General features: G+C 44.5%; 2 protein-coding genes across 3 annotated transcripts in view; one reads left to right on the top strand and one right to left on the bottom strand.

Annotated features, from left to right (window-relative positions):
* The window catches only part of LOC112268307 (uncharacterized), a 106,617-nt gene that overhangs the window by 78,461 nt on the left and 15,866 nt on the right, over positions 1-12,290 (bottom strand). The gene's annotated exons all lie outside the window — the stretch shown is intronic.
* Positions 3,495-9,908, top strand: ASB12 (ankyrin repeat and SOCS box containing 12). The gene is made up of 3 exons (NM_130388.4): positions 3,495-3,639; positions 8,428-9,274; positions 9,634-9,908. The coding sequence occupies exons 2-3, from the start codon at positions 8,452-8,454 to the stop codon at positions 9,765-9,767; spliced, it is 957 nt and encodes a 318-aa protein (NP_569059.3). The 5' UTR covers positions 3,495-3,639; positions 8,428-8,451; the 3' UTR covers positions 9,768-9,908.

The following is a 12,290-nucleotide window of genomic DNA, read 5'->3' as shown; positions in this document are numbered from 1 at the left end:
TATTCAACATAGTCTTGGATGTTCTGGCTATTGTATTAAGGCAAATAAAACAAATAAGGCATACAGATTGGAAAAGGAAAAATAAAATTGCCCTCATTTGCAGATGGCATGAATGGCTATGTAGAAAATCCCAATAAACTTACCAAAAAACAAAAACAAAAGTAAACAATCAACAACTACAAAATCTTTCCTGTGACTAAGGAGTTCAGTTAGGATACAAGATCAACACACACACAAAAAAACGCATTTCTTTTTTTAAAATTTAATTTAATTTTACTTTAAGTTCCAGGATACATGTGCAGAACATGCAGGTTTGTTACATGTGCCATGATGGTTTGCTGCACCTATCAACCCATTATCTAGGTTTGAAACCCCACAAGCATTAGATATTTGTCCTCATTCTCTCCCTCCCCTTGCCCCCTACCTCCCAGCAGGCCCCAGTGTGTGTTGTCCCCCTCCCCGTGTCCATATGTTCTCACTGTTCAACTCCCACTTATGAGTGAGAATCTGCAATGTTTGGTTTTCTGCTCCTGTGTTAGTTTGCTGAGGATTTGGCTTCGAGCTTCATCCATGTCCCTGCAAAGGACATGATCTCACTCTTTTTTATGGCTGCATAGTATTCCATGGTGTATATGTACCACATTTTATTTATCCAGTCTATCATTGATGGGCATCTGTGTTGGTTCCATGTCTTTTCTATTGCAAATAGTGCTGCAATAAACATACATGTGCATGTGAACCAATTGCATTTCTAAGAAGAAACAAACATATGGAACAAGAAGAACCAAATATATGGAAACCCAAATCAAAATCCAATGTCATTTGCACCACAGAAATTGAAATATTTAGGTATATTCTTAACAAAATATACAATCCATATGCTGAAAAATCAGAAATGCTGATAAAAGAAATCAAAGAAGACCTAAATAAATGTAAAAACATATCATGTGCATACACTGGAAGACTCAGTATAACAAAGCACTCTGATATATATAACCAAACTGATATATAGATTTAACACAATTTCTATCAAAATCTCAAAGAGGTTTTTTGTAGGCATAGACAAGCTGGTTCTAAAATTTATATAAAGAGGTGCAGATACTAAAATAGCTAAAACAATCTTGAAATGAAATAGTAAAGCTAAAGGAGTCAATCTACTCTACTATAAAACGACAATGATAAAGACCTGTACACAGATGTTCATAGCAGCTTTATTCATAGTAGACAGATAGTAAATAGAACCCACATGTCCTTCAATCGGTCAATAATTAAACAAATTATGCTACATACCTACTATAAATCACATTTAGCAATAAAAATAAACAAACTTGATACATACAGCAACTTGAATTAATTTCAAGGACATGCTGAGTGAAAAACCTAATTCCAAATGTTTATATCATGTATGGTTTCATTCATATAATTTTGAAATTATAGATATGAAGAACAGATTAGAGGTTTCCAGGGGTTAGGTACCAAGGTGGGAAGAATGGAAAGGAAGTAGGAAGGAAGTAGATATGGCTATAAAAGGCAATGTGAAATATCCTAATTGGGATAGAACTATTCTGTATATTGTCTAAGGTGGTATACACAAGCTACATGTAATAAAATTGTATAGAATTAAATGTACGCACACAGACACAAAAAAGTACAAGTAAACCTGGGGAGATTTAAATAAGATAAGTGGATTGTATCAATGCCAATGTCATACTTGAGATATTGTACTATAGTATTGCAGGATGTTAGCATTGGGAGAAACTCAGTAAAGTGTACTTGGAATCTGTATTAATTCCACAACCACATGTGAATTACAATTATCTCAACAAAAACTTACATTAAAAAATCCTGCAAATCTTTTTTTCAAGAATAACACCTTACTCTGTCATCTTTAGCATCATAATAGCTTATTTGTTGACTGCTAATTGGGCTTGCATGAGGCCTCAGACAAAGTCCCCTGGCTCAAGCTAAGCTGAAACTGGTATGCTTTTTGATGTTTCTGATCTTCAGAGTCACTGATCACACTAGGACATTCCCACATTTTCCAGAGGAGTTATCTGGTCTTCTGTGAGCTCCCTGGCACTATCAATGTGCAAGCAGATTGCTTGACCACTTCATGAGTGAGGTAGACAAGACTGGGGAGGGAACTAAATAGATAACAGATTGAAAGAAATAGTTGAAGGAGCTGGGGCTGTTTTCCCTGAAACAAGGTGACATGGAGGATATAATATCTGGGTTCAGATCCCTAGAGGGCTGTTTTGGGGCAGAAAAAGTGAGAGCTGAGTTTTTGACAAAGTTTCCAGTGCTGGACACATTAAAGTAATGGTGATGCTTTAGGGTGAGGATAGTGGGAGGTTGTGGGCATTTTCTTCAGGCTGAGCCTGGTGGGTCAGTGGACTGGGAAGGTCTTTATAAATGACCAAGGCCTTCTTAAGCTTTAGAAAAGCTGAGTGAGAACACATTCTGTTATGGAGGCTTCTCCTTCCTACCTTCCTCCTCACTCTGAGCAGTGAAGGAAGGGGAGGGGCAACGAGTTGGAGGATATGCAGAGAGGCTCAGTTCAGAAGAGAAAAAAGAAGAGATTCCTCAGGGATATAGAACTAGAAATACCATTTGACCCAGCAATCCCATTACTGGGTATATACCCAAAGGATTATAAATCATGCAGCTGTAAAGACACATGCACACGTATGTTTACTGCAGCACTGTTCACAATAGCAAAGACTTGGAACCAAGCCAAATGTCCAACAATGATAGACTGGATTAAGAAAATGTGGCACATATACACCATGGAATACTACGCAGCCATAAAAAATGATGAGTTCATGTCCTTTGTAGGGACATGGATGAAGCTGGAAACCATCATTCTCAGCAAACTATCGCAAGGACAAAAAACCAAACACTGCATGTTCTCACTCATAGGTGGGAATTGAACAATGAGAACACATGGACACAGGAAGGGGAACATCACACACCGGGGCCTGTTGTGGGGTGGGGGGAGGTGGGAGGGATAGCATTTGGAGATATACCTAATGTTAAATGACGAGTTACTGGGTGCAGCATACCAACATGGCACATGTATACATATGTAACTAACCTGCACGTTGTGCACATGTACCCTAAAACTTAAAGTATAATTAGAAAAAAAAAAAAGAGAAAAAAAAAGTGTGCTAGGCTGAGGCTGGACCTTCTCAGTGCCCCCTGGTGGAGGTGTGGGAACAACCGCAGCTCAGGGGCCTCACCCTGTCTCCCATTTGAGTGGCAGGGAGGGATATAGGAGGATAGGCTGGGAGCAGGAACCCTAGCCTCACCAGGCACCTGTCTATCTGTCAGTCAGTCCTTCCAGGACTTCCCCATGGGAGAGCCCCTCCTCTTACTGAAATCGCTCCCAGAATGGCACTGGTAAGATAACACGGCCTGGGAAGAGGGGGTGGAGGGTAGCCTAAAATTAGCCCCTTGGACCAAGACTAGGGACTGACTCCTAGTCTTTCAACGGCATTGTTAACAGTGGGAAACGAGAGCCCCAGCTGCTCCAGGTTGGGGCCGTGGGGGCTCCCTAAGGAGGGGACACCAGGGCCCCAATGTTTCACAGAGGGGCGGGGGGCAGCGACCCTGGGCAGCATGGCCTCAGGCTGAAGCCCGGTGAGTACCTGGAGCCTAGGACCGGTTTGAGAAGAGTGACCACTGCGGGCCCACAGACCTGTGATCACCCACTTCCCGTTGTAGGCTGTTTCCGCTGGGTCTGGGACGTGGTGGGAGTTGGGGGAGGCGCTTGGAAGGTCGTTAGGGCAACCCACCAGGAGGAGGGAGGAGGGATATAATGCCAGCTCCCTGCCTTGTGTGTCCCAAGAGGATATGTCTGCCTAGGACCTCGGGTCTAAACAGACCTGCTTCTTGAGAGCAATTGTGATTATACACTACAGGAAGTGTGGAGATTTGTCTTTGTGTCCCTGTGTGGTGTTGGCTAGTCTGTGTGTGTGGGTGCCTTAGAGTGGGTTTAAGGGCATAAGGGCAGAACTCGTAAGGGTGAGAGAAGGAAGATGAGGCTTAAAAACGTTCTGCTAATGCCTGAAGGAATGCTCTAGGATGCACGGAAACCAACCACTTTCCTGTGGGAGTACTTAACCTGGATTGACAGACACCAAGAGGGCCTTAGATAGAATTCAAGGGGTCCAGAAACTTGGATGAATAGACAATTACCTTTTTTCCCCCTAACCTCTAACTAAAATGTACTATTTCCTTCAAGGATGAATGCAGGTATCAAATGGCAGTAGCATAACCAGTTCATGTAATTTGGTTACCAGAAGAAACCACAGATATTTCATATCATATTACAGTTGTGGCAGAGATCTTGAAATGTCATTTATTACCACTTAGAAATTATTACTAGACCTTTTTATTTAATGTGTTACTAAAGAACATCTCTTACTATATCATGCATTTAAAAATATTTTGACAGTCACATTTTAATATAATTGGTTTCCTTTAATTTTATGTGTTTTATGTAGCAAAAACCATTCTGAAAGGTGTTTACAGACTTTGCTAGTTTGTCACAGGAACCAATATCACAAAAAAAAAGGTTTAAAACTCCTACATCTTTAGGATCAGGAAGGAGCTACGTGCACATAACAGGCACATAGTAACTCTTTGATTAATAAACTACAGCAAAGTGAGGTAAGACAACAGGCTAGCTGGATTTCCTTGTCCTTATCTAATGGAGGCACGATTCACTCCAGTGCCACAGCCAGCTGGAGAGCATGGCTTGGTCTCCCTCTGGAGGCTCATTATATGAGCTCTGCTGTGGGCTCTTGGTATGAACCTTAGCAAGAACTTCAGCACTTCCCTCTGCCACTCCCTGCCAATTATCTGCCCAGATCCCAGTCGCCAAAATAAAATATTAAGGAGGGAATTCCTACCAGTTATCAGAATAAATTATTTGTAAAGGAACCTTCCATTACCGAAGACCCTGGAATTCAGCATGACACTCAAAAGCTGAAGATCCTGGGAGCTGCAATGTGACTGCTGGAGTCAAGGGAGGGGGGTATGTGTTTGTGTTTCATCTTGTAATAGAAAGAACAGGAGGAGGAGTAGAGAAACCTGGATTCTATTTCTGACTCTGCTTTTGCCTTGATGTAAGGTATATGGAAAACCCCTTACCCTCTCTGGACTCAGTTTCCTCCATCCAAAAAATGGGGATAATATTACCTATTTTGTTACATGAAATTGCTTTGAAAAGCACAGGATTATAAGTGTGTTCTGAGTTCTTGTTAATGAGACAACTAACAATAACAACCATGTGACCTTACCAAAGTCCCTGCTCTGCTCTGAACCTTGGTTTCCCCATCTGTAAATTGAAAAAATTAAATTAAATGATCTACAAGGTCCCTTGCAGCTCTGAGGTTCTAGAACATTAAGTAGGGAGCAATAGCCTTAGAAAATGGAGACATAAGTAACAATCATCATCATAGTAAAAATAGTTACTGAGAACTACTTTCAGGCACTATTCTAAGCACTTACTATGTACTAACTCATTTAATCCTAAGAACCCTCCAAGGCAGATACTATTGTTATTTTGTCTTTACAGATGAAGAAATGGGCACAGAGAGATTAAGTGACCTGCCCCAGGTCACACAGCTACTAAATGCTAGAGCTGGGGTAGAAGCAGAACTCCCATGTTTTGCCACTACCACATAAGGCCTCTTTATCTGCACTAGGGCAAACAAAGACCCATATAGAAGTTACAATACAGTGTGATGACTGCTATAGTGCTATAACACAGACTCTGCAGGAATTAACTTGGCAGAAGGAGTTGCATGTGGCAGAAAGAAACATGGTGTATATGGAGAGCCATCACTTTTTGTCTCTTGTCACTGGACCTCAGGATATAAGTCAAGGAGTAGTAGGAAGTGAGGCTGGAGAGATTGGCCAAGATTTATTCATGAAGGACCTCTGAGCTGGGCTAAAGTATTTGGGCTGTAGCTGGAAAGAAAGGGGAGCCATTAAGGTATTTAAAACAGAGGATTGGTAGAGATCAGATATGTATTTTTAAATTACCACTTTAGCAACAATGTGGAGAAAATATTGAAAAGAGAAACTACCTATGAGACCACTATAACTGCTGAGGCAAAAGGCAGTGGGGGCCTAGATGAAGCATAGTCAATGAGAATGGTCCCTGAAGAGCACAGATGGTCTGGAGAAGTCTTTAGTAGGTAAAATCCACAGGACTTGATGGGATTTTATGAGAGTGGGATAAAGAGGCAAGAGCATTGACAGGAGTCTTGGTTTTTGGTTTGGTTGACCAGGTAGATGGTGAGGAAATGATATATGGATCAAGTTTAGTCATGGTGGTAGTGGTGGTGATGTGATACTGCTGTCTTTGAAGTGCTTGAAGAAACTCAGTGGATACATGCCTGGAGCTAAAGAGAGAGCTGGGGGCTCGGATAGAGACGCTTAAAATAATCAGAATAAAGGTGAGAGCGACTGGAGAGAAGAGGTTGGAGAAGAGAACACAAATATTTCAGGGGAGAATGGGAAGGGAGAAAAATCAGGAGAGTGTGCTGGCAAAGAAGCTGATGGAGGAGTTTGTAGGGAGGAGTGGTCTGTAGGGATAGATATTCCAGAAAAGTCAGGGAAGAAAAGATCTTCAAGATATCCACTGGATTTAACCACAAAGATGACCTTTTGAAGAGCTTTCTTGGTGTATGTTTGAGTGTGGGTGAAGCCAGACTGCAGAGAATGGACAAGTGAATGGAAGGTGGTGAAGTACATAGTAGAAAACTATTTGGATATGTTTGGTGTAAAGAAGGGAGAGACGAAGAGAAAGATAGCTAGAGTGGGACAAAGGACCATAGAAGTTTATTCTCCTAAGTTTTGTCTCCTAAGATGGAGGCTAAAGGTGCAGAGTATGTAGTAGCTCTCTTACTCCTAATAACCTCATGAGAAAGTGACTTCCATTTCTGTCTTATAGATGAGGAAACTGAGTCCCAAAGAAGGGAAGAGACTTACCCAAGGTTACTCAGCAAAGAACTGAGAGTGCTGAGCTGCAAACCTGGGTCTGCTGGATTTCCAAAATCCTGTCCTTCCCATTGCACCCCAAGAATGAATAAATAATAACACCATATATGGAGCTGATGCTGGTGGGTGGGGAGGGGCCTAAAGTTTAGGGTGACCCTACCCACCCACCTCATAATTTTCTTTCTATGAGGTAGGTACCTGAGGTCCCAGACTAACAAAGAGGGGTGGGGGTAGACAGTGAATAAAAGAAGATATGAGGTCCTGAGACCTCAGCTGCAGGGTATGGGAGAGTAGGGGAACTTAAGCTCTGAGAAACCTGCCAGCTCGCCCTGATGACATTACAAACTGAGGTGGGCGACCTTGACACTGAAGCACTGGTAAGGTCAGAGGTTGGGTTGAGTCAGACATTGAGCCATGAGTGGTTTTGTAGGGTGAGGATTATGGAAAGAGAAGAGTTGAAGGTTGAGTCAAAGGCTCTAGCCTGGGTCAGACAGGATGGAAAAAGGCTTAAGCCAGAGGAATGGGGAGCCAGTGTTGGCAATCAAAGGGACTCCTGGATTAAATTGGTCCTGGGGGAGAATCTAGTTGTAATCAGAGAGGAAACTTGCCCTGGGAGCCTCGACTGTTTCCTGCCATCTGTCTTCATTTTACTTGAAATATGTTCTTTGTAATGCCACCTCTTCATTTAATCAGTAAATATCATTCAATACCAGTTTCCTGAATACTTCTTTTCCTGAAATGTGGGACTTCATCTGAGGGAAGGTTACAGAAGGCTCAGATGAGGGAGCTTTAGTCATATATGAGGGGCTGTGAAGAGTTAAACTATCTGAAAATGGAGTTAAGGGCTTGCCCCAAAAGATTGATGTCAGCAAGCTCAGGGATGGCAACTTGACACCACAAAGTATGGTTCTATTGGCTTAGCCAGCGCCAGGCCAGAGCCACCTTACTAATCCACACATTCTGAACTGAGGAAAATGCATCTACCAGATTTCCAGCCATGATATAGCCCTACTAGGGATAGAGGAATACAAGATGAATACAGGGTCCTTGCCCTGGAGTTTATACACTAATGGAACATAGATAAGCGGAAATGTGGTGTGAAAGTTCATAGCTGAAGTTTAGTTGTGATCCTTCAGAATCCCTGAGCAGGAAGAGGAGATTAGAGAAGGCTTCCTAGACGTAGGAGTTTGAGGGGTAGGCAGAAGAGTGTATGCAAAGGCATCAAACTGTAAAATGCCCTGACCTGTTTTGGCAGTGTCTTTGGGGCCTGAAATAAGACAGTGGGATTGGGAGTGAGAAGTAGGAGACCCATGAATGAGTAGCCTGATGGTGAAATGGAGGGAGATTTCAAGGAGCGTGCATGGTCAGGCTTTTGATGGGTACCCTCATTCTCTCCCACTTGTTTGTCACCCACAGATCTGGCATTTCCTTGTGCTCATAATGAGAATAGTTCTCCAATTAGCCAAGATGAACCTCATGGACATCACCAAGATCTTCTCCCTCCTGCAGCCCGACAAGGAGGAGGAGGACACTGACACAGAGGAGAAGCAGGCTCTCAATCAAGCAGTGTATGACAACGACTCCTATACTTTGGACCAGCTTTTGCGCCAGGAGCGTTACAAACGTTTCATCAACAGCAGGAGTGGCTGGGGTGTTCCTGGGACACCCTTGCGCTTGGCTGCTTCTTATGGCCACTTGAGCTGTTTGCAAGTCCTCTTAGCCCATGGTGCTGATGTTGACAGCTTGGATGTCAAGGCACAGACGCCACTTTTCACTGCTGTCAGTCATGGCCATCTGGACTGTGTACGTGTGCTTTTGGAAGCTGGTGCCTCTCCTGGTGGTAGCATCTACAACAACTGTTCTCCCGTGCTCACAGCTGCCCGTGATGGTGCTGTTGCTATCCTGCAGGAGCTCCTAGACCATGGTGCAGAGGCCAACGTCAAAGCTAAACTACCAGTCTGGGCATCAAACATAGCTTCATGTTCTGGCCCCCTCTATTTGGCCGCAGTCTACGGGCACCTGGACTGTTTCCGCCTGCTTTTGCTCCACGGGGCAGACCCTGACTACAACTGCACTGACCAGGGCCTATTGGCTCGTGTCCCAAGACCCCGCACCCTCCTTGAAATCTGCCTCCATCATAATTGTGAGCCAGAGTATATCCAGCTGTTAATCGATTTTGGTGCTAATATCTACCTTCCATCTCTCTCCCTTGACCTGACCTCACAAGATGATAAAGGCATTGCATTGCTGCTACAGGCCCGAGGTGAGTGGTGAACAGGCCAGCCTCATAGGCCACCTGGCTTGGAGGTCCCAGGGCTCTAAATCACGTATAAGCCAATCCTCTGAGGTGCACTGGAGAAAACTCCATCTTCCTCCCTCTCCTGGGGCCCCAGTAGAGAAGAGGGGTTATGTATTCCATGTTAGAGAAAGGTCACTAAGATAAGGTTGGGTGGGGGTGGGGAGCATTAGCCCAATTTCTGGTTCTGGCTCTGCCAATGACTGTTTATTTCTTGGAAAGGATAGAGCATTAGGGCTGTAGTAGCCAGTGGAGAGTGGATGTAGGCTTGTGTGGGAGAATTTTGCTGATAATTGCTCCTCATGACCTGTTTCTTCTTGCTGTAGCCACTCCACGGTCACTTCTATCACAGGTCCGTTTAGTCGTCCGCAGAGCCTTGTGCCAGGCTGGCCAGCCACAAGCCATCAACCAGCTGGATATTCCTCCCATGTTGATTAGCTACCTAAAACACCAACTGTAATCTTGCAGTCTCCCCAGGAACTTATGATGCCTCCGAAAACCACCTGGGGACTCACGTAGCTGGAGAGCATTACAGCCTCATCCACTTACCTGGAGCTGCTCTCCTGTATTATCCTCCACAATAAAATTCTCCAGAAAATAAGTCCCAGTGTCTGCTGTGTCTGGTGTGTGTGGGCATGGATGGGGGCATGGGCGTTATTGAGGGAAGGGGTATGATTGGCCATGGAGAAGGATAGCAAATGGTCTGGTATCTGACAGGCACAGGAGTCTGTAAGACCAAAAGAGGAAACTAACCCAATGGCCTATACCTCCCCACCAAGATCCTTTAGAGAGTTTTGGGAGCTGTGTTGCCCTGGAAGCAAGGTCCTGAATAATACAAGTGGGTAGAAGGGTAGCATCAGCTTGCCCAGCCCTGTGCCTCCCTTCAATTCTCTGGCTGCTACAAGACACCTTTTCATTGGCTGTCCCCCAGTCCCATATTACTTTGAGTCAAGTGACTGAGGAGCCTCCCATTCACTCACCTTGAATCATAGGCTGCATTTCCGCTAGTCCAGTTTATATTCAAGATCTACCTGGGTAAACAAACTATCAAATATTTATGACAGAATATCTAATGTGAAAAATAAATTGGTTACATAGGTGATAGGCTGAGAATCCAAGTAAGACAAGCAGATAACTTAGAGATTAGCAAATGCAGGAAGCCAACCTAACTTCTAGGCTTCAGGGGTAAGGGAGGAGGGAGAGGGGTCATCTGATTGAAAGTGAAATCGCAGGCCTGCCCTCAAGGGCTAAAGCCACAGATGAGAAATGCGCCTGAGCTAGAGGATGGGAAGAGGTAGCCTCTTCTTTCCCTCATTCCTGCCCTTCAATCTGCCTCTGAAGTCTCTCTCATTGAGGAAACCAGAAGTCAATTAATATTAGAACCTGAGAAACACAGCTTACAGGGGTCAACCCCCTTGCAATCAGAGTGAGGGTGAGGTGGTGAAGAATGGAGGGACCATGGGAGGAGGTAGTATGACCTAAACCGGAGCTGGAATCACACAGCAGAATTGGAAGTATGCTGATAGCAGGAACCACAGAGGAGACACAGCAGGGGCAGCACTCGAGGCAGAGAAGGCAGAGGCTAAGTACCCTGGCTTCTCCATTTTCCCTGCCTTCCCACCAGTGCCTTCTATTGGTTAAACCCAGCCAGAAGGTAGTTGACTTGGAAGCCTGGGAAATGCAGCCTGTAGGGGTCAGACCCCCTATAATGTGGAGAACTGGGGAAGGAGGCAAACAGACCCTGGAACAGCACAGATATCCACTTAAATCCAGGGAAATTCATTTTACTAAATTTTAATCCCTCCACAGGACCTTCTTGTATTTCTTCTGTACAACTGTGGGTGAGGACATGGATGAGCAGTGAAAGGGACACAAGATTAAGGGGTAGAGGAGGAGAGCCCAGATAATCTGTCCCCAGGAAGCACTTTACATATTTAGAGCCCTTCCTGGGAGCTGCTTTGATGGTCTCCTACATCATGCTCCCCTATCACTGGGAAAGGAAGGCAGAGCACGGAGTCTTAATCTGATTTGCCCCTCACCTCTCTCACCTCCCCCACTCTCCCTAGCTACTTCTGCCTGAGAGACTTTAGGAAGGAAGGTGAGAAAATTGGACATCTATCTCCATGCTCCCGCCCCACCTAGCTTTCAGATTTTCATTCTTAGGCACTTTGGGAAACAGTGCAACTGTTTTTCTCCAAGGAACATAAGAACTAAAGAACTGAGGGCTTCAGGGTAGGCATCTTCAGCTCTCTTCTGTCTTTCTCTCAATCTGGGATCCTAGGTGGTAGTTTATGCAAAGCCCCACCCCTAGCCCTGCCTGCCATTCCCTTAGGGCCCTTGGGGACTAAGTCAACCTCAGCAGCCCTATCTGCTATAGATCCCCAGGAAAGTACATCCTTCGAATGGGGCCTGGCCAAGGTGGCCTCCTCCATGGCATCTGGGACACAAACTCTGGTTGACCCAAGAAGGCACATGGACACTCTGGGCATTTCAAAGTACATGTGCTTGAGGAGGTTATAGGAATGTACAAAATTCTAGATAAAGAGGAAGGGCCAAAACTCTTAGCTTCAATTTCCCAGATGAGGGAATTGAGAACCCAACTAAGGTAAGTGCCCATGTTATTATTTATGGTCCAGCTCTTCAAAGTACTTCTAGCTGTTCTTTCTCTGGTTGCCTGTGCTGTTAGTGAGAAGAGACAACTTTACGTCCTGGTACCTTAATTTTGTCCCCTCCCCAGGCCTCATCATTCCCATCCAGAAAATGGGCCAGGAGTTGGAATGAATCACCTCAAATTCTGATGATGACTTTTCCAAGGCAATTTTGCCTAGGAAGTATGAGAAGAAAGCAGAGATGCTATTACTGCACCTAGAGTGAAATCTTCCTCTTGGCCTTTAGTGTCTTGTTGGCACTGACTCCAGGTGAAAGCTCAGTTTCCTCAATCCCCCTTACCCCCAGCACAGTCACTAGCTTTCAGAAGGCCAAA

The sequence above is a fragment of the Homo sapiens genome, chromosome X (assembly GCF_000001405.40).
Source record: "Homo sapiens chromosome X, GRCh38.p14 Primary Assembly".
Classification (NCBI taxonomy): domain Eukaryota; kingdom Metazoa; phylum Chordata; class Mammalia; order Primates; family Hominidae; genus Homo; species Homo sapiens.
The sequence above is the reverse complement of the archived record's forward strand: the minus strand, read 5'-3'. Positions and strand labels throughout refer to the sequence as shown.

Coding starts and splice junctions, on each gene's coding strand:
- ASB12 (NM_130388.4), top strand. CDS start 8,452: ATGAGAATAGTTCTCCAATTAGCCAAGATGAACCTCATGGACATCACC. Junction 9,275..9,633: donor ATTGCTGCTACAGGCCCGAG/GTGAGTGGTGAA, acceptor TTCTTGCTGTAG/CCACTCCACGGTCACTTCTA.